Below are 23,383 nucleotides of genomic sequence, written 5' to 3'. Positions count from 1 at the left end.
ATATAGAATGATAAATCAAGCCCCACACTGCAGAGAAAATGTGGCAATATGGTCAAGATCCAGAGTTTCCTTTTAAGAAATTATTCCAGAGTAATATTAAGTAATTTAATCAAATATTTATGGGAAAAATATCATAGCATTATTTATAATAGTAAAAATATGTAAAGATTCTCAACTTTGGGTAAATAAATTAATGATATTTCATTTTTATATGGAAAAGTAATTAGTATAAATTATATTTTCAAAGGATATTAACTGACACATCAAAATACTTGGTGTTTATTTTGAAATGTAAAAGCATGATAAAAATAACTAACCTAATTTTAACTTTAAAAAATTATGTTGGTATAGCATTCTTTTATGTATGTACATTACTATAAATATTCCTATATTTTTATTCATTTATTTTATATAGTTTACTGTGAAGTACACACAAATATTAACATTGGTTTTCCCTGGAATTGTGAGTTTAATTGTTACTTGTATTTTCTTTCTAAGGCCTTCCTCTAAAAATTTTTTTCAAATACATATAAATTCAATTTATAATCAGAAAAAAAGATATTTTTTAAGTGAAGACATTGAAAATAGGTTCAATTTTAATTCATTTTAGTAGTTAGGATTCTGACATCCTATGTAGAAGTTTTTTTTAATTTTTACTTTGTTTTTGGTTCTGTAATTTTATTTAAAATATATAATGGTATAAAGAAGACAATGATGATGGTGATGAAGAAAAATGAAGAGGATGAATTGCCACACTGTCTTCAACAATGTGCACATGTACCCTAGAACTTAAAGTATAATAATAAAAAAAATTTTAATAAATAAATAAAAGAAAAATGAAGAAGAAGATGATGTTAATTTTTCCAATACTGGAAAATAAGAGACTAAGTTTTCTAATGACAGATCTGACTATGTGATGGAAAGTCTTTGTGAACGTTGAATTTTCTAGGGTGAAGATCCTCTCATCTTTCTTTTTTTTTCTAGAACCAATCCCCTTATGCAAAAACACGAATAGCAACAATGATGTAGAGAGGATTTATGTGAGTTTAAATGTAGGAAATGAATTTCATAAAATTCAAGGTACTAATACTTGAAGACAATCTATGATAGTGGCAATTTTGTTTTCCTAATTGACTTACAGATATAAGACAAACACGATCTAAATTACATTAAGCTGTGTGTGTGTGTGTGTGTGTGTGTGTGTGTGTGTGGGCGGAAAGTGGCAAACTGATTTTAAAGTTTATATGAATGTTCAAAGTACCTAGGAATATCCACAATAATCTTTATAAAGAAGTACAAAGTTGATTATTTATGCTACTTATTTCCCTATTCACTGGATAGTCAGAATGTGCTGCAGAATAGAACATGACATGAATGTGGCCAAAGTTAAAAGCAGATAATTGCCACCCAGAGAAGAAACCAGCACATGATTCAAGATTGCTGAAAACAAAAAACATGCACACTAAGGTCAAGTCTAAAGTGCTTACGTACAAAAAGTGGAGAGAGACACTGTACACAAGATCCAGTCCTTTGCAATGCATTGGACCCCACGGCCAGAAGATCTGATCCACAGTTGGCATGGGCAGTGTGACTGCAGACATTTAACTTCCTGCTGCAGTGCTAGAGCCTTAATCCTTCCCCGATGTAGTCTGAAACACAGTAAGCTAGAGCTGTTCCAGAGGGCCACTGATGCACTTGCTTAAGTCCTCCTGCTTGATAGGTCTTTGGATTATAAAGGTGTGTGCAATTGTCAAATGACAGTGAATGCACACTTTGTCTAGTGTAATTCATTGTATGTATATTTTAACTCAAAAGAAAAAGCTAAACAAAATTCAGATCTAGCTCATGGTGTTCATGACGAAGTATTTAAAGGCAAGTGTACTGACACCTGCAATGTACTTAGAAAGAAACACGAAGGAAAAATCATGGTTTTATAGAGGAATTGACAAATAAATAATAAAGCGAGTATAATGAACAAAATAATTCAGTTTCTGTTAAGATTTTAGGTATTTGATAGCAAAATTATTCTGGGAAGAAATAATTTGTGAGTATTAAATCAGAAGAAAAGGCCATGAAACGAAGACATTCCAAGTAGTGGGTGTCTGTATTGGAGAAACCATATCTATACTGGAGAAAGCATATCAGTTTGTGCGATTGTTTTTGTCTTAACCACCCAACAATTCAGTGTTTGTTTATGAAAATCAATAAGCATTAAATGAGTCCAAGCGGTTTCATGACAGGACTTAATTCTAGAGAACTGCAGTACCTTCTTGGATGAGCCAAACTGTTTTAATACATAGGGATTGCAAATAAATTGCACTAGTTATTACCAAACTCAGGAAATATCCAGTGCTTTTCCTTTCATACCATTTCTTGCTATGTGCAGTGTTTCCCCTTTCATCATCAAATCCATTAAGGTGGGTCAAAAGCTTTTGAAGGAAATTAGCACATTTTGAAATATTACAGATTTTTAAAGGATGTGAATTAAATGAAGCAATATATGAGAGCCACTTTGTGAGCAACTTAACAAATTTTGGAAAATAGCAAAAGAGGGTAGACAGGATATAAATGAAGTATTCAGACACATTTCTTAGAAACTCCAAGTACCAAAGCTAATTCAGGTAACCACCACTACTGCTTTTATAGTAATAATAATAATAAAATGAAGAGATAATAAAAGAAAAATCTTGTTACCTCAATGATTGAGATGAACAAGTTTACATATACATTTAATTAGAATGTTGAGAGAATAAAATAAGAAAAATAAATTAACAGTTTGAAGCCCCTTTGATTCACTATTTCAAAACTTCAGAGGTGGGCTTCTGATTTAAAACAAACTCAAAAATGTTAGAAGTTCCATGGCTTTCTATTGAATTATCTTAGAAAGAGGTGAAGCTGCAATAAGTTTTAATAAGGGAGGCACTAGCAAACTCATACAAATGAAAGCTAGCACAATTAAATTTTCTATACAAGTATGTACACAAAGTGCTTAGATGGGCGATATATGCAGGAAAACGTACACACAGGATTATATGAGCAGGCACACTACCAGTTTGAACTGAAAGGGAAAGTGATGGGATGAAATGAAGGAAAGCTCTTGGATTTCTATTTTTAGGACTGAATTATTTTGCCATTCTGCTACAAATATATGCTATTCTTCAAGAGAATGGAAGAATTATCCCAAAGGCAATTCAGAGATCATTGGGGATGCCTCTTTGGTCTCAAAGAGTGAGGGACATGATCTTGACTAACCCAGGCCAGCTACCAGGCCCCACAAATCCTTGGGGGTACGGCCCATGACCAGCAGAGCCATGGAGGCAGAAGTGCTGCCCCAGTGGTTCTGAAAGGCAGAGCATCAAACCAGACAGGATTAACATGTTAATATTTAATGATATTTGCCTTGCTAGGTTTTGGACTACCTTGAGATAAATTATCCATTTCTTTCTTCAGATTTTTACCTTTGGAATAGGATGTCTATCCTACTCCTGTCCCATATCTGTATTTTGAAATTGCATACCTTATCTAGTTTCACAGTTTCATAGCTGGAGGGATATTTAGTTTCAGCATGGATTTTTGCTTGGAGTCTCACCCATATCTGATTTTAAAAATGCTTAGAAGAAGCTTTGAATTTTAGACTTCAGAGTTGATGCTGAAATGAATTAAGGCTCATGCGGCTGTTAAAATGGAATGAATATATAGTCAGCCTTCTGTATCTGTGGGTTCCACATCCATAGATTCAACCAACTGTGAATCAAACACATTTGAAAAAAAATTGCATCTGTACTGAACATGTGCAGATTCAGTTTTCTTGTCATTTACCCCCTAAACAATAGAGTATAGCAAATATTTACACAGCACTTACATTGTGTTAGGTATTATAAGTAATCTAGAGATGATTTAAAGTATATGAAAGGACATGCACAAGTTATATGCAAATATTACACCATTTTAGAAACTTGAACATCTGGGTTTTGGTATCTGCGAGAGGTCCTGGGACCAATCCTCCTTGGATATCAAGGGATGACTGTATTTTGCTTTTGAGAAAGACATGAATTTGTTGTACCAGGGCCCAATGCTGTGGACCAAATTGTGTACCCACTAATTCACATGTTGAAGCCCTAATCTTCAGCATAATGTTATTTGGAAGTGGAGCCTGTGGATGTTAATTAGGTTTAAATGAGATCATGAGAGCAAGGCCCCCATGATGAGATTCATGCCTTTATAAGAGGATGAGGACACCACGTCTCTCCTCCTCTGAAATACAGACACAGAAAGAAGGCAGTGGTAGGCAAACCATTTTTTTAAGAGCAAAAGAGGGCTCTCATCAGACATCAAATCTGCTGCTGCCTCTATCTTCGTATTTCAAGGCTCCATAATCACATGAGCCAATTTCTTATAATTAACCTCATGTTTCTTATAATCATATATAAGTACATAGGTAAGTAAATAGATGATAGATGATAGATAGATAGATAGATAGATAGATAGATAGATAGATGATAGATAGAGCTTGATGTGGTTTCTCCCCATGAAAACTCATGTTAAAATTTGATCCCTGATGTAGTAGTATTGGAAGTGAGGCCTGGTATGTGATGTTCAGATCATGGGGGTAGACCTCTTATGAATACATTAATGCATTTATTTGGGGGAGTGAGTTCTCACTGTTAAGAGAATGGGTTATTTCTCATGAGAGCTGGTTGTTCAAAAAGGGTCTGGCTTCCTTGGTTTCTCTCTCTCTTGCTTCCTCCCTTACCCTCTGATCTTTTTGCACCCTTCTGCTTTCTGCCACGGAGGAAGCAGCATGAGGGAGTCCCTCACAAGACCTAAAATCATAAGCCAAATAAACCTCTTTTCTTTATAAATTATCCAGCCTCAAGTATTCTGTTATAGCAACACTAAAAAGACTAATATATAAATAGTCCTCTTTTTCTCTGTGAAATGATAACTAAAGATTTTGGTAGTGTGAGTCAGTAACTAATAATTGCTGGAGCTGGCTCTAGAATCCAGTTCTCTTTGACTTCCATAAACCACCATCTCCTGTTCATTGATTTTCTGTGTTTTTTATTTTTTATTTTTTTTGCCTACTCACCTGGCCAAACACTTATGAACATATACATAAAGAATTTTGCAAACACAAGAAAGATTTCATAAATCATCTTTTAAAAAATAAGGTACCCATAATCTTGTGGTTAAATTCAACTTTCTATGTTAAGAGTTTTACTCAAGTTTATATTTAATTTTTAATTAAATTTCTTAATTTATCCGGCCACTGCATTCCATTAACTCAGTTTTAACAAGGTGCAATACTGTATTAATGCATTTAAAATTTGTCCTTGAGAATGTAAGATCTAGTCCAAAAAATATTAGTTACATAGTAAAATATTTTTAGTAAAATAGATAGATTATGGTCTCCTAAGAATCTGTACTAATTTCCTTCATGTTTCATATTTTCTTAATTATTTTGGGGTTTCTTATCTTTACACTTCTGCATTCTCTGCAATGCTGTATTAGTTTAGTAGGGCTGCCAAAACAAAAGTATAGTATCACAGACTGAGTGGCCTAAACAATTTATTTTCTGTTATGGTATCTAGAAGTCTGAGATCAAAGTGTTGGCAGGTTTGGTTTCTCTTGAAACCTTCCCACTTGGCTTGTAGATGGCTGTCTTCTGACTGGGGCCTTACATGGTTTTTTTTTCTGTACATACAATCTTTGATGCCTCTTGTGTGTACTAATTTTCTCTTCTTATAAGGACACTGGTCAAATTGGATTCGAGCCCACCCTAATTACTTCAGTTAATCTTAATCACCTCTTTATAGAAGCTATCTCCAAATGCAGTCACATTCTCAAGTACTGGGGGTTGGGCCTTCAAACCATACATAATTTATAGAAAAAAAATTTTATTATCCTAGATAATACTGTATTTAATCAACAAATGACCCATTAATTGAGTCACAAAAGATAGCTTAAGAGGAAGTATAAATAAGATCAAACTATGTTTAAATTAACATTTGCTAGGCCAGGCACAGTGGCTCATGCCTGTAATCCCAGCACTTTGGGAGGTTGAGGCAGGCAGATCACGAGGTCAGGAGTTCGAGACCAGCCTGGAAACCCCGTCTCTACTAAAAATGCAAAACTTAGCTGGGCACAGTGGTGGGCACCTGTAATCCCAGCTACTCGAAGGCTGAGGCAGGAGAATCGCTTGAACCCAGGAGGCAGAGGTTGCAGTGAGCCGAGATCGTGCCACTGCACTCCAGCCTGGGTGACAGAGCAAGATTCCATCTCAGAAAAAAAATAAAAAAACCTTTACTATTTGTCCTTCAAGTTTTTCATTCTGTTTCTGTCAGTGAAAATATTATACTATACAAAATTTTAATAAAACTTAAAATATATATTTAAAGTAGTGAGGAAAGTACAGTGAATCTCTTTATTTCCCAACTTATCAGGATTTTGCTATATGTGGTTTATATGCATCCCTTCATTCTTTTTTTTGCTAAGGCCTTTAAAGCAAATTCCACATGTCATTTTACCACTGAATCTCTGAACAGAGGACACAGTCTTACTTAATGGTAAAGCCAGTATTTTTCAAGAAAAATTATCAAGTGTTTCCTTTATATAAATTTACACATAATCAATAATCAAATTTGTCTGATATCATAAAAATTACACCGTGTGTTTATGTGAATCAGGATCCATAAAGACCACCTATTGCATTTATATTTGATGTGTCTCTTAACTTTCTTACAGTCCAGATTTGTCCCCCTCACCCTGTTAGCCATCCATTTGAATGTACCATATCCTAATGTGTCTGTCTATTTTTTAGTTGCATTTATATTTTTTTTCCTTATTATGTGTTTTCCCATGTACATGGAAGTTAATCTTAGAATTTTGATTAGATTCAGGCCAAGTATTTTAATGAGACTACCTCATAGATTGTCCCATGTACTTCATACTGAATTTCATCAGGAAGCACAAAACACTAATTGTCTTATTTTCTGAGATGCTAAAGTTTTTCAGTGGATTTGGGTGGTAACAGCTTCATTTTTGCATTGGTAGAGCATTCTAATAATTTTTCATGTTATTTTATTGATAATTCGTGCTTGACTCAATTATCAACACTAAATTGCTCTTCACTATACTAGGAAATCATGATTAATTAATACAAACAAATGTTGAATCAAGTAATTCAAAGTTTTTTTTTCTTTCAAATTTATTTTTTTCATTGACATATAAAACTGTATGTATTTACTGTGTACAGCATGATGTTTTGAAGTACATATACGTTGTGGGATGGTTAAATCTAGCTATTTAACAAATGTATAACCTAACACAGTTATCATTTTTGTGGTGAAAACACTTAAAATCCACTCTAGCATTTTCCAAGAATACAATATATTGTCATCAGTTACAGTCACTCTGATGCACAATGTCTTGAAAGTACTCCTACTCTGTAAATCTTTTTTTTTTTTTTTTTGTGACGGAGTCTCGCTCTGTCGCCCAGGCTGGAGTGCAGTGGCGCGATCTCGGCTCACTGCAAGCTCTGCTTCCCGGGTTCACGCCATTCTCCTGCCTCAGCCTCCCGAGTAGCTGGGACTACAGGCGCCCCCCACCACGCCCAGCTAATTTTTTTGTATTTTTAGTAGAGACGGGGTTTCACCGTGTTAGCCAGGATGGTCTTGATTTCCTGACCTCATGATCTGCCCGCCCCGGCCTCCCAAAGTACTGGGATTACAGGCATGAGCCACTGCACCAGGCCTCTAACTGTAAATCTTTTTAACATGATAGCTATAGAAAACATGAATTGATAATTTCAGATGCAAACTTTACATATGAAGTTAATAATCAGTATTTACTTTAAAAGTTTATGCAAATTTTACATATGAAGTTAATCAGTATTTACTTTAAAAGTTTACATATCAAATTATTATTTTTATTTTCTTTCCTTGTCTTTCTATTACAACATACATACTACTTGCTATGAATGTTTCTATAAAAATGGCACCACTTAAAATATAATAATTAATAGAAAGAAAAAATACAGAACACTATATAATTCTTAATTGGAGAAGGTCACCATAATTCTTAAAGACAGAAAGTGTCTGAAGGAAAGATGAAGAAGCCAGTGAAATCTTTATGGAGTTGGTAAGGTTTAAGCAAAGTGTGTGCTCTGACTGGATAGGCTGTATGGTAATACAGTAATCCCAAATTCATCATGATAATTAAAACAAGAAAGAATTGCTGTTAGCATATAACTTATCTGAAAGCCAGTGATAAAAAATGTTTTTCTAATTCTTGTTTTATTTCTTATTATGAAATGGTTTAGATCTTTTTTTCTTAGGTATGTTTGTTTTAAATTTGGAATGTATCTAATGTAGTAATAACGAGAAATGATTTTTAAATATTTCTTTTAAACTAAAACTTAGTTTTTAAATTTTTAGCTTGGTATGGAATCTTTCTCATTTGTACTAATGAGCACGAAATGATTACTAAAAGCATTAGAATCACAAGATAGTCATTGTAACTATGTGGGTCATTATAATTTTAGACTTACTTCTTACTTCCTTATAATGAGTCATTAACTAAACCTGCAGCATAAAGTTTCACTGTCTAAAGGTGAAATATAAGAGAACTCTCATATTTAATATTATCAATAATATATCAACTATATAATGAATAATATCTATTATAGATAAATATATCATAATATCAAATAAGATGAGCTTCAGAGTAAAATGTATTACTGTATGTAAAAAGGGATATTTTCTAGCAATATAATGAGAAGTTTATAAAAAATAACCATCATAAATGTGTCAAAAGACAATATTACAACAAATTTAACATAAAGATATAATTATTTTTTATTTTTAATTCTGGAATCAGGAAACACCTCATTTTATAAAATAGAATGAATATTCCACAGGCCATGCCAGAATGGTTGGTTTTTGTAAGGGAGGAGCAAGAAGGCAGAACAATTTTAGAAAGCAGATCAGTTAACGTAAAGTTACTACAGGTCACTTTTCTTGTAAGGTTGAAGCAAAGGAGACAGTTCTTATCACACTGACTCAGGTAGACTGGGCTCTTTTTGATTGGTTGCTATGAATCTCCTGTCTTCAGGGAAAACTGGTCTATTTGGGGATCTACCTACTTCCTTGCACATAGTATAAGTTACACCATTTTGGTTTGGCCTGGTTTGATGAGACCTAGTTCAGGAAGTTAGTGCAAAACAATGCCCTCCTGTAAACCTTGTTTAACAAATATGTTTACACTTAATAACAGAGCTTCAAAATGCACGAGAAAGATAGTGATAGAATCAAAGAGGCGTCCAAAACAGCAAGCGTGGAAATTTTAGCATGTCTCACAAAGCATTTGATAGAGCAATTAGAGAAAAAACTACTAAAGATGTAAATATTCTTAGGTCCCTTCTCATCCAGAATGATTTAATTGAGAATTGTAGAACAATATACCTAAAAAATACAGAAAACTCCCTGCAGATGATACATACACAAAGTCCACATAAAAAATCAAACAAATCTAAATACTTTTTAAAAAACTGAAATTATACAGTGAATATACTTTGATAATAATTAAATTTGTCATAAGTAATAATAAGATATGATACTTAAAATTTGGAGATTAAACAACTTCTAAATAATCCATAATGATAGGAAGAATCACAAAGAAAATTAGTAAATATTTCATACTAAAAAGTGATGAAAAAAATTAACAGACCAAAGTTTATTATTTCCAACACCAGGAAAATTGATAGTAGCCTAGGTATATTATTCGAGAAAACACTAAGTGAGCAAAAAATTATCAATATCAAGGATAGAAAGATTATCACTATAAATCACATAGACACTTGAATGTTAATAAGAAAATATTATAAACAACTTCATAACACCTTTATGAATACTTAGGTGAAATGATAAGTTTATTTTTAAAAACACATCATCAAACTCACAAAAGAATAAACAGAAAATGTGAGTAGTCTTTTATTGGATTCATTGTAAAAATCATTGTTACAAAGAAAACGCAGCCCCAGGTAGTTTTCACACTGAATTCTATAAAATCTCATAAGAAATGTATAAACTGAATCTTACACCAACTACTTCAGGACACATTGACATGGCTACATTAAGAAAAAGTAAAAAATAAAATGCAGAAAACTTTCTTAAAGTAACAGAAATGAATGTGTTTAATGAACTTATCAGTAGACTCAACACTATTAAGAAAATAATAAACGAAGCTAGCGGCAATCTTGAAGATAGAAATTTACCAATTGAAGTACAAAGAGAAGAAAAAAGATTTTAAAAACAAAATATTCAGGAACTGTGGAGAAATATTAAAAATTTATAAGAAAACACTAGAGAAAAAAAGTAAATGAGAACTAAAATGGCCATGAACTTTACAAAATTAATAACAGCCACTAATCCACAAACCAAGAAACTCAGAAAACACCAAGCAGGGTAAATATTTCATTCAGACACACACAAACACACAAACACACACACACACACACACACACACAGTCTTTCTCATACACACAAACCACAGTAGGAATATTTTATTTCAATTGCAGTAAAACAAACAAAAAAAAAGGTCTTGAAGGAAGCTGGTAAGGGGCACCTTACTTACAGAAGAATTAAGTTTAGAATTATAGCTGACTTCGCCCCTAAAATAATGAAAACAAGAAGATTATCAAATCTCTAATGTATTGAGGGAGAAAAAAAATCCCTGCCAACCTAGAATTCTACATCCACAAAAATCATTCTTCAAAAATAAAGGAGAAGTAATATTCTCAAACCAAAACTAATGACATTGACAGCAGAACTGTCATACAGGAAATGTTAAAAAAAGTTTTTCCGGAAGAAGAAAAATGATATAAGTCAGAATCTTGAATCTACATTTTTAAAAGGGCATCAGAAAAGGAATAAAGTGAAATATTTTATTTGTCTTGTATTTAACTGATCTAACAGTTAGTTATCTAAAGCAATACTAATAATACATTTAGGTAATTCAAGAATATAAGTAAGTAAAATAATGATGACAGCAACATCAGAAGCGACAGAAGGGAGAATGTGGAACACTGTGTTACAAGGTACCTATGCTACAAATAAAATATAGTGTTATTTGAAGCTGAACTAACTTTATTTAACAATGCATATTATAAAACCTAGTTCACCTACAGATATGTAAAAATGAAGTGTAACTACTGTGCCAAATAAAATGGAATAATATAAAATAATTAAAACAAAAAAAGTAGAACAAGAGGTAGAGACTAGTAACAAAGAACAAACGTAATGAAAGAAAAGTTACAAATATATTGCATTTTAACATAAATATATGAGTAATCACTTTAAATATGTCTAATGACATCGGTAAAATAGCAATAATTATTAGCCTAGATAAATTACAAGCCCCAGCTATATGCTGTCTGCAAGAAATTCATTTTAAATGTGAAGATTATGACAAATTAAAAGGATGGAGGAAGATAGTATACTATCACTAATCAAGAGAAAGCCAAAGTATATTTCAGACAAGAAGACATCAGGAAAGGGGAAATTGTCAGGGATAAGAAGGGTAACTACATAATGATAAAAAAGGTCAATTCTCCAAGAAGAACACAACCTTAACTGGTATGTACCTAACAACACAGTATCAAAATATTTGAGGGAAAACCTGATAGAACTGAAAAGAGAAAGACACAAATTTGCTATTATAGTTGGATAATTCCCCACCCCCCCATCAGTAATTGACATGGAGCAGGCAAAAAATCAACAAGGATATGGTTGAAATGAAGAGCAGTATTGATCCATTTTATCAAATTGACGTTTATAGAACACTCTATTTAAAAACAGCAAAACACATATTTAAGCTTATATAGAATATTTACTAAGGTAGATCACATCCTGGATCTAGCTTAACAAATTTAAAAGAATCTAAATCATACAAAATATTTTCTCAGACTACAATACAATTAAACTATAACAGAAAGATGACTAGAAAATCTCCAAATACTCAGAATACTGGCAAAGCTGTGATCCATGAGCAGTGAATCTTGTAAGATCAAAAGCTCATAAAATCAGATCCAGGCATCATCACCAAATGCCTTTTCAAAATATTATACAGAAACAAATATCGCACATTTTAAACCTTGTCAATTTAAATTCAGGTCAATTTAAATTCATTCTGATCTAATTATATTTTTAGAAAGATAGATTCATATTAATTATAATACACAGACTGAAAAATTCCAAAAATAACTCATAAGGAGTGTAAGAAAATAAGTGTTGTGGGTACCCAAACAGCCCTCTATCTATTAAAAATATTAATTGGCTGCTTGAATCTTCAGTGTAGGTATTTTCTTTTCTCTGAGTTTTAGTTTAGATAAAGCAGAGAGCAGACCCAGAGTAGGAACTTACTAGGATTTCTTTATTTCTTACTCCTAGATACACAGAAACTGGTGCAACAACTAAGTTATAAACAGTTTGTCCCTGAAATGGTAAGTTTTAGGGCAGAGGAACACCATATCTTAAAGCAGAAGGAGGAATCAATTTGGCCATTAAAATTTGGGGGATATTTTATCCAACTGGGTACAGGTCAGTGGGTGAAGAGATAAAATCTAAGGTACCCAGATAAGAGTAACAGGAGGCAGTGAAATAAAACAATATCATTTGCAATAATATAATCCTTAGCATTAAGCTCATTACAGAGTGAGTACTCAATAAATGTTGATTAACCTATATTTTGAAGGTATTCATAACACAAAAGAATACACAGAACTGAACTGAGGAAAGTTCTTTCATTGAACTGTTTGTCCAGATGTTGAGAGGGTCCATGGTTTTCCTATCGCATAAATGCAATTAATCAGGTGCTAATTTAGCTGTCATATATGAAGCAATTGTTGCCTGTGTGTTTCATTGTTATTGATTTATAAAAGAAAATGGCTTAAGTATTATTTGCATGTTTGGATGCACGCAAAGAAAGGTAAAAATAACTTCAGCCAACACTGAAAAGTGGATCAGTCTTTCATATTTGACTATGCTGATTTACAAAGCATCATGTTACATGTATGGAACATGACTTTTAGGAATCATATGGTTTATTTCCTGGAAAATTTGCTTATAGAAGCTTAACTAAGTAATTAATAAAATCATCTATTTATGGAGAGTGCATAGTGTGATAAGTATGTAATCTACAGCCTGATATCCTAGGCTAATTACCTAGGACCTGTATGCAGCAGGGTTTCCATCTGTGTTTACAGAGACGGTAGGAGAATTCAGAGTTAACACATGAAGCATGCTTAGTACAATGGCCAGAAAAAACAAGTGTTTTCTGTTGCCAAACTACTAATATTACCACCACAATGATTATATGCAAAGCACTGACTATACTGAGCACAAAGCCATGGTATAAAGGGAGTGATTCTATAGCTCTTATTCATTATTCTCTCTCTTTTTTTTCTCTCTCTCTCACAAACACACACACACAGACACACACACACACACACCTTTTTTTAAAACAGGAATTTGAAGATATAGATATGGACATTTTTCATAGTTAGGGCTTATATGCCACAGCTGCAATGAATAAAATTATCTCTAGAAATTTTGAATGAATATTTACTAAAAAATTAAACTGAAACACAAGTATATATACATTAAAGAAATTAAATTGATTATTGAATGGAATTTGTATAGATGTTGAGGAAGGAACAATCACTGTAGCTGCAAAGAATTTCATGGAATGGGAAAGGTATGTGCTTAAGTTGACAGACGGAACACATTTTAAGGAATGAGATACCAAATATCGATGAGGAGGAGATGGAAGAAAGCGTCTCAGTAAGAGATATGACTTCAAGTACCAAAGGGATAATGAAGAGAATGGTAAAGCTATTTTAGAGATAACTGGCCATATAGCATGAGGCTAGATTATTATGTGTCTTAAGACCTCGTCTAAAACATATAGTCTGTCCTGAGCACAATAGGAAAGAACATAATGTTTCTAAGTAGAGGGTATCATAATCAAAATGCATCTTACTGAAGTTCAGCTAGGCAATCATATCTAATTTCAATTGCAGATTTGAAAATTGAAGCAAGGAAACCAATAAAGATTATGGTAGAATAAACAATTCCTGAAGTCAAAGCTTCCTCCTTTTGGTAATTTCCAAGGAAATTGTATATGGAAAGGTAGAAAATAAAGGGTTAGTAAAGGCTTATAATGAACTAAGTTTAACCTTTAGCTTTTGCAACTTTGTACTTAATATACATATTTGATCTTTTTTCAAAAAGTACATGCAGAATAAAATTGATCTGGGATCTTAAGTGTAATTACAAATAGGACAGTTTACAATGCATAACAAATTTTGAGATCTTATACAGCTGAAATTTTGAGTATTTATTTTTCTGTTTAGCTTTATGTTTGCTTGTCTTTATTGCCCCTAATAATTTAAGAATGCTTAAACATCTCGATAAAGCAGAACAATTGTTTGTTGATAGCAATAATAAGCTGATGAAAGCTACAATATTGATCTCTCAAAATCCTCTTTCCAGCTATATAATAACTGTGTGTCAGAGTACCCTCTTATATTCAAATATTAAAAGAGTCTAGTGGTTTTTGTTTTTGTTAATTCATGTCTTCTTCTTCTTTTTTAAATCTTCCTAATACCACAGGATATGAATTATTCTAGGTCAGGAGTAGGGGTTGTTTTCTTCTCCTTTCCTGATCAGACAATTCATGATTCAATGAGCCAGATATTTGATACATTCAGCTCAAAAATATGTCATACGATTTCATACCTTGTTCTTGGATTCATGTTTATAACAGCAGTTGCTTGCCAGATAAGCAAGACAACCTAGCTCTGTTATTTAAGATATCTCTGATATTACATTTTGAAAAAAAATGCATTTAATACTATTACTAACATACATTTTATTAGTTTTATTTGCTGCTGTTTATTTTTTCATTTAAAATCTTTATGATATAAATCTAAAACATACATGAATGAAATAGAAAATGCATCTCTACTGTCATATATTAAGTGATTATAAAAATGACTTATTTTTACTTTAAAAGTTTTCAAATAAGAGGAAAATTTCAGAATATACTAGAAATAGAGCATTTAAAAATAAACAGACATAGGAGCAAAATGATTACATTTAATCCAAGCCCATTCATTCATTCATAAATATAAATATGTAACCTACCTGAGATGGATGATCATCTCAGTTTTTACAGCCACTACAGATCCAATCTTAATTACTTACCCTTCTGACTGCCTGAGATTGGGGATACTAAGCCTGGAACAGAGATGTGTGTAAAAAAGGCTAATGCAGTGACTCAGGTGTTAAATGAAAGGCAGAACAAGCTTGATAAAATAAAGGGAACATGAATCCTTACAATTTCAATAACCGTTTCAATATGAAGGCAAAAGGAATTGTAAATATGTATAAGCCCATGTTTCTGGCTTATGGATAATTAAACAGATTCGGTGGTCATTTGCTGGAATAGACTATTGAAAGATTGGAGAAATATTGAGAAAAAAATAAGAACGAATTTTAGCCTTAACGAGAATAAAGTATACCTGGAAAACTTCAGTGGAGAGAGACCACAGTGTTAAACATAAAATTATTGGATTCAAACATGTGTCTGGTTTGAAGATAAAAATTATTTGGCATCTTCAAAATATAAATGACAAAGATATGGGATTTGAGACAATACAGGAAATGAGAGGCAAAGGGACTGATTATAAGAATTTAGGGAATGGCAAGATCTAATATGAAATGAAGAAGCAATGATCATCTTAAGATCAATACAGAGGTATTTCAAATAATGCATTTAAGGGTAAATTGGGGGCATATTTTGAAATCCATTGTGAGGATTTTTATTTTAAGGTGGATTTTGAAAATGAGGGAAAGTTATATAATGGCAGAATGGAAATGACAGCTGAAATGACATGATATAATAAAGATGGGGGCCAGGCATGGCGGCTCACACCTGTAATCCCAACACTTTGGGAGGCCGAGGCAGGAGGATCATTGGAGGTCAGAAGTTCAAGTCTGGCCTGAAAACCGTGGTGAAACCCCATCTCTACTAAAAATACAATAAAATTAGCTGGGCATGGTGGTGCATGCCTATAGTCCCAGCTACTCAGGAGGCTGAGGGAGGAGAATAGCTTGAACTTGGGAGTGGAGGTTGCAGTCAGCCGAGATGGCATCATGGCACTCCAGCCTGGGCAACAGAGCAAGACCCCATCTCAGAAAAAAATAATAATAAAAAAAAGCATGGGTCATAATGTACCAATTTTTCCTGCAGATAAACTTTATTAAAATAAATGTTTGTATTGTGGGTTTTAAAATATATTCTAAGTAATCTTCCAAAACAATAATGTAGTAGGGGATAGGTCTAAAGTATTCTCCTTTGAATGCTGTATATCTGGGCCAGTTTTGTGTCTTCATATTATGTGAGTTTCATGCTGTGTGTTGTTAGAAAATCTTTTGAAATCTGTAGGATGTGAAAATTGAACAAATATCTGCTATTTTTGCTTATTTTATTCCAGGCCCTTTTGTTCAATGAACCCAGTGAGTATTAAAGAAAATAGTATACTTTAGTAAAGAATAATTTATTGAAAAATAAGTAAGAGTAAACATCTATTCACTAAGATATCAATTAACATAATTAGCATTCTTTTTTTTTGTTTTTAGACAGAGTCTTGCTCTGTTGCCCAGGCTAGAGTGCAGTGGCTCAATCTCAGCTCACTGCAAGCTCCGCCTCCTGGGTTCATGCCATTCTCCTGCCTCAGCCTCCCAAGTAGCTGGGACTACAGGCACCGGCCACCACGCCCGGCTAATTTTTTGTATTTTTAATAGAGACGGGGTTTCATCGTGTTAGCCAGGATGGTCTCGATCTCCTGACCTTGTGATCCACCTGCCTTGGCCTCCCAAAGTGCTAGGATTACAGGCGTGAGCCATCGCGCCCAGCCTAGCATTCTTAATGATAAAATTGTTCAGTTATTTTCAATTACTGTTACAAATTTAGCACTGAAACTAGTTTTCCCTCTCTAAAATAGCATTCAAGTGAAGTTTTTGAATCATATGTTTAACAGAACCAGAAAATGTTTGGCTTGTCACTCAGATTATATTAAGATTATATTAATATTTTGCCCCCGGGTACTATGCCCAGGGTAGTTGTCCTGACTCCATCTGCAGACAGTCTTTGCACACTGCTCCTTAGTTCTAATCTGAAGCTTTTATTTCCCATTCACACTAGAGGTGAACGACAGAATACCAGAAACACATGTACGGATACTCAGTTTACATATTCTCATCATTTTCATCTCATCTCCCACTTTTTTTCTCTCTCAAATTTTCTGAATCTCTGAGTGAAGTTAGTTTCCATCGCCCATTTAGACTATTCCTGTGGAAGATCTGGTTGTAATATAATTCTAAAGGTGTTCTTTAAAAAATATATTAACTGGATATCTGAAATCTTCTGGTCCTGACTAACAGTGCTGTTTCAAACATATTCTCATGTGTTAGTATGCACTGATATTCCCTTTACTTTTGGGAAGATCTCAGTCACCCATTTTAAACTGCTGTAATTAAGGTGTGTGTGTGTGTGTGTGTGTGTGTGTGTGGTTATTGCACTGTAATACTAAATTTTGACCTTCATGAGGGGAGAGACATGTGTGACTTGTGGATCATAACAGCCATCATCGCAGCAGCTAGGAATAGAGATAAAGTTATCCAGGAAGAATCCGCGGAGAGCCCTCATGTCAAATGTTGATTCCCTTGACATTCCAAAAAAAAAGTCAATAAGGTTGTTTTCTTTTTAATTAATACATTAAAATGCATATATTTTTGTTATACAATATGATGTTTTGATACATGTATATATCATGGAATGGCTAAATCAAGCTAATTAGCATATGCATTACCTCACATACTTATCATATTTGTGTGGTAAAAACACTTAAAATCTACTCTCTTGGGAATTTTCAAGTATACAATATATTGTTATTAATTATAGTCACCGTGATGCACAATAGATTTCTTGAACTAATTGCTCTTATCTATCTGAAATTTTGCATCCTTTAACCAACATCTCCCCAATCCCCTTGAAATAAAGGGGGCAAATATGGGATGAAATGAAGAAAGACTGTCAGACTTCTGGGATTCTATAAGCAGGGAAAAGGCTACTCAAAAGGCATGAACACCACTGAAACCACTGCTGATGGTTGAGAGCGCAGGGCCACTCAACAATATGATACTGTCTGTTTCAGAACCCCTCAGCTAATCATCCATTTTCTCTGCTCATTCAAAGCTTACTGTGTGCCAGGCATTATCCTGCATTCTTGATATATAAAGTAAATGACATTAACACATACTATTGAAGATAGATTTGAAACATAACTGCAAATACAATTTCATACCTAAATAGGAATAATGTACAACTCACCTCAAGTTGTGAAACATCATTTCAAACAAATAAACCATTATACAAAAGGCTTCCTAAGAAAGAACATATTTATTCTTTGTTTTGAAAGATACATAGGAATTTCCTAGTTAAATAATCAGAGAAGTTTATTTCTAAGGGAGAGATAACAAAATGCTCAAATGGAAAGAAGTGTGAAGTAATAATAAGTACCTTTAAAGAATAATAATCAACGCTATTTAGAACTGGCATATGTTTTGAAGCAAGGAATGGTAGGAGATACTGTCTATGAAATAGATGGGAGTCAGGTCAGCCCACGTGTTCATACAAAATGACTTGAGTGGAGACATTGGCCAGTGGATAGAAACATTTTGGGTATCAGGTATTTTTCAAAACTCTAAAGAAATCTATAAAGCATTTACCACCACAGGTACATATGTTTGTGTGTGGAGTATTGTATTACTCCATTTTCACACTACTATAAAGAACTACCTGAGACTGTGTAAATTATGAAGAAAAGTAGTTTAATCAACTCACAGTTCTTCAGGCTATAGAGGAAGCATGGCTGGGAGGCCTCAGGAAACTTACTTACAATCATGGTGGAAGGCAAAGGGGAAGCAAGCATGTTTTACCATGGGGGAGCAGGAGAGAGAGACAAAGAGAGAAAGAGAGAAGGGGAAAGTGCCACACACTTTCCAACAATCAGATCTCGTGAGAACTCTATCACATGAACAGAAGGGGGACGTCTGCCCCCATGATGTAATTACTCACTTCCCACCAGGCCCTTCCTTCAACACTGAAGATTGCAATTCAGCATCAGATTTGGGTGGGAACAGAGATAAACCACATCAAGTATGTATATATACACATGCATGTGTGTATGATTTATAATTCTAGAAGGACTTTTTATAGCTTATGAAATCTATGTTTATAGTCTTTTAAGTTATACACTTTAAATCATTACTTGTAAGCAATGTGTGTGGAAGTTTTTTCAGAAATTCACATTAGAAGTTACATATAGCAATAGTTAGGAGAATGGAAAAGAGAAAGGATAGTCAATATAGGGTAAAAATGAATTTACTTATGTCCAGTAGAGAAGTCAGAGAATTCAAAAGTTCCTAGGCTTATACTGGGAGACCAGGTTGTTAGTTATGCCACTAACAATATATAGGATTCCAGGTCTGAAGGGAACCTTGCCAGGGAGATGAAAAGATTAGTGTTGAATGCTTTAGTTGGAAGTCCTATGGGTTTATCATACTGGAGACTTCCACTAAGTTGTGAAACATTCTATTCTGGTGCTTACCTATAAAGAATGGGATTGAGAGACATGAACATATAAATGATATTTAAATCATGGGCATGGAGTGGGGAAATCAATGGAGGGATATGTAAAGAAAAGAAGAGGTTTGAAAAGAGAATCCTGGTAAAATCAATACTTTTACTTATTTTATTTGTTTGCTTATTTGTTACTTATTAAAGGCTATGGTCACAGAATGAGATACTGAAGTTTTTAAATTTTGAAGTTGAATAGATCCAAGATAGGTTATTGGTTAAGTCATCCACAGTTATTCTGTGTTTTTTTAAACTCTCAAGAAAAATTTGGGGTTTATATGTAGGAAATGTTAATAATCCATAGACAAGGATTTTAACAAATATGGGGAGTGATATAAAGGACTATAATAAAGATGAGAAATTGAGGGAAAAGGACAGGAAAGTGAGGGGGAAAGGATTAATAGCTTTAATTCAATTATTTTAAATGCGGATGGATGCATTTTTACAGGAGGTGCAAGAATAATGGTGGTTCAGAAACAGAAATAGGACGGGATTCAGGATGGCTGACTAGCTGCAGCCAGGAGGAACATCTCCCACCAAGAGACTGTGATACGGGGCAGACTGGCATCCTACAAGTAGATCTTCAGAGGGAAGGAATTGAGAGTGGACACAGGGAAGACACAAATGCTGGGCTGAATGGGGAGAAAGCTGAGAACCCTGCACAGGGTAGATAAGCACCAGGACTCATTCCTGGCCCCCAGTGACTCCTGGCGAAGGGGTAATTCACACAGGTGAGGAGTGACCTACACTTATCATGGACCTCTGGAATCCTAGCAGAAGAAGACCTCCTGACCCCCACAGACACTTGAGCTGGCAGAAAGATCTGCTTAGAGAAATGACACGGCAGGGCTCTAGCCTGTGTAGTTCAGAAGATTTGGCATGGGAATGGCTTCAGCGGAGCATGGCCAGTGATGCTCATCCCTCAAAGCTTGCCATGCTCCTCTAGGAACTCTAGGAGACTTTAGCCTCAGGGTGACTGTAGGACCTGGACAGAGCAGAGCAGTCACGCCCATGGGATGAGGGCATGACTGAGTGCCCCTCCATCTACTGGCATCTCCTGGGGCCCCAGCCTGACCACATCCACTTGCAGTGCAGCCTCGGTTACCCAACCAGGGCAGTTCCTGGGGGCTCACGTTATAGCTCCTTTGCCAGAAGACCATGCCTGACTGTTGGAAAGCTCCAGCAGACTAATCCTTACCAATGCACACCAGCCCACCCAGTTTCCCCTCGCTGAAGACTCCCCGTGCAGCTTTTCCAGCATGCACTCACTCACGGCCCCCTTACCACTTTGCCAGCACAAGCTCACCCAGCCACCCCTTCCTTGTGATGCTGCTTTGCCACCGCCGATGTGAACTCATACACAGATGCCAGGAAACTCACCCCCACAGTGCCATCACCACTGCTGGTACAAACTTGTGCACAGGTGCCAACAACCTCAGCTCTGCCAGTGCCCCCATCACCACTGCCACTATCAGCACAAGTGCTAGCAGAGAGGCTGACAACCCTACCCCCTCTAGATGCCCTTGCCCAGCCAACATGCATGCACCCCACCATGCTGCTGCAGCTGCTGGCACATGTGAGCAAGCACAGATCCCACTGCCTCTGTCCCAACAAAGCACTTTGGTTGGCAGCCCCTGGAAATTGGAGTGTTGTGGCTAGTGTACCAGGAAAACCTCAGCCCTTCCAGTGCACCAGGTTCATAACCTCAAGGGGCCAAAAAACAAGCTGGGGGGCTCAGTACCAGCTGATCAGAGTTAGAGCACTCATCCCAGGAGTGCCGAGCTGAGCTTTGGACTCCTAAAATCCTCCGGAAGTGAAGTCAGTGGACTGAACCCACCTTCTGCCACAATCAGACTCCCAAGAGCAACAAAGAAGATAAAAGCAAAATACCCCATCCAAAGGCCAGCAACTTCAAAGATGGGAGGATCATCAGCCCAGACAGATAAGAAAGAACCAGCATGAGAACTCTGTCAACTCAAAAAGCCAGATTGTCTTCTTACCTTCAGATGATTGCAGTAGTTTCCCAGCAATGGTTCTTAACCAAGCTGAAATGGCTGAAATGACAGATACAGAATTCAGAAGGTAGATGGATCATCAAGATTTAGGAAAGTGCAAGCCCAAGACAAGGAATCTAAGGAATACAAACAAACTATACAGGAGGTAAAAGATGAAATGTCCATCTTAAGATATAACTAAACTGATCTGATACACCTGGAACACTCACTTAAAGAATGTCATAATATGGTCATATGTATTAATAGCAAGATAGATAAACTGAGGAAAGAATCCCAGAGTTCAAAGACTAGTTCTCCAAATTAGCTCTGTCAGACAAAAATATGAAGAGACTTAGACAACTACACAATAACAGTGGGAAACTTCACCTCCAATTGACAGTATTAGACAGACCATAGAGGCAGAAAACTAACAAAGTTATTCAGGACATGATCTTGGCACATGACCAAATGGACCTAACAGACATCTAGAGAACTCTCTACCCAAGTACAACACAGTGTACATTATTCTTATCTGCACATGGCACACACTCTAATATTGACCATACAATCAGCCATAAAATAATTCTCAGAAAATTAAACAACTAAATCATACCAACTATACTCTCCTATCACAACACAATAAAAATAGAAATCAATAGTAAGAAGATTGCTCAAAACCATACAATTACGAGGGATTTAAACAACCTGTTTCTGAATGGCTTTTGGGTAAACAATGAAATTAAGGCAGAACTTAAGAAATTACTTGAAACTAATGAAAACTATGATACAACATACCAGAATCTCTGGACACAGCTAAAGCAGTGTTAAGGGAAAAGTTTTTAGTGCTAGATGCCCACACCTAAAAGTTAGATCTCAAATTGACAACCAACATGTTATCTAGAGGAACTAGGAAAATAATAGCAAACCAACCCCAAAGCTAGCAGAAGACAAGAAATAATAAAAATCAGAGCTGAACTGAGTGAAACTGACACATTCATGAAACCATAAAAAGATCAACAAATCCAGCAGGAGTTGGCTTTTTGAAAAAATAAATATGATTAATAGACTGCTAGATAGACTAATAAAAGAGAGAGAGAGAGAGATCCAAATAAGCCCAATGAGAAATGATGAAAAGGAAATTACCATTGGCCCCATAGAAATACAAAAAAACCCTCAGAGACTATTAAAAACATCTCTATGAACACAAGCTAGAAAACCTAGAAGAAATGGATAAACTGCTGAAAACATTCAATGTCACAAGACTGAACCAGGAAGAAATGGAATCCCTGAACAGACCAATAATGAGTTCCAAAATTGAATCAGTAATAAAAAGCCTACCAACCAGAAAAAGCTCAGGACCAGAAAGAATTACAGACAAATTCTACCAGATGTGTAATGAAGAGCTGGTACCATTTCTAATGAAACTATTCCAAAAACTTGAGGAGAGACTCCACCCTAACTCATTCTATGAGGCCAGCATCTTCCTGATACCAAAACCTGGAAGATATACCACAAAAAAAGAAAACTTCAGGCCAATATCCTTGATGAACATAGATGCAAAAATCCTCAATAAAATACTAAAAGCCATCTTTAAAATCCCATAGCCAATATCACAGTGAATGGGAAAA

The 23,383-nt window shown here is 34.9% G+C and overlaps 1 protein-coding gene across 12 annotated transcripts in view; it reads right to left on the bottom strand.

Moving 5' to 3' along the window:
* ADAM29 (ADAM metallopeptidase domain 29) overlaps positions 1 to 23,383 on the bottom strand; it is a 59,823-nt gene that overhangs the window by 8,198 nt on the left and 28,242 nt on the right. For 2 of the 12 annotated variants that reach the window (XM_011531556.2, XM_011531560.2), the window contains one exon: positions 3,518 to 3,674. The exons of 8 other annotated variants lie outside the window; for them this stretch is intronic. The gene's annotated coding sequence lies outside the window, so the exon portion shown is untranslated. Of the gene's footprint in view, positions 1 to 1,491; positions 1,650 to 3,517; positions 3,675 to 21,761; positions 21,816 to 23,383 lie in introns of all 12 variants that reach the window. 2 more of the 12 variants (XM_011531557.2, NM_001278126.1) reach the window with 2 other exon arrangements.

This window comes from Homo sapiens, chromosome 4 (genome assembly GCF_000001405.40).
Source record: "Homo sapiens chromosome 4, GRCh38.p14 Primary Assembly".
Classification (NCBI taxonomy): domain Eukaryota; kingdom Metazoa; phylum Chordata; class Mammalia; order Primates; family Hominidae; genus Homo; species Homo sapiens.
The sequence above is the reverse complement of the archived record's forward strand: the minus strand, read 5'-3'. Positions and strand labels throughout refer to the sequence as shown.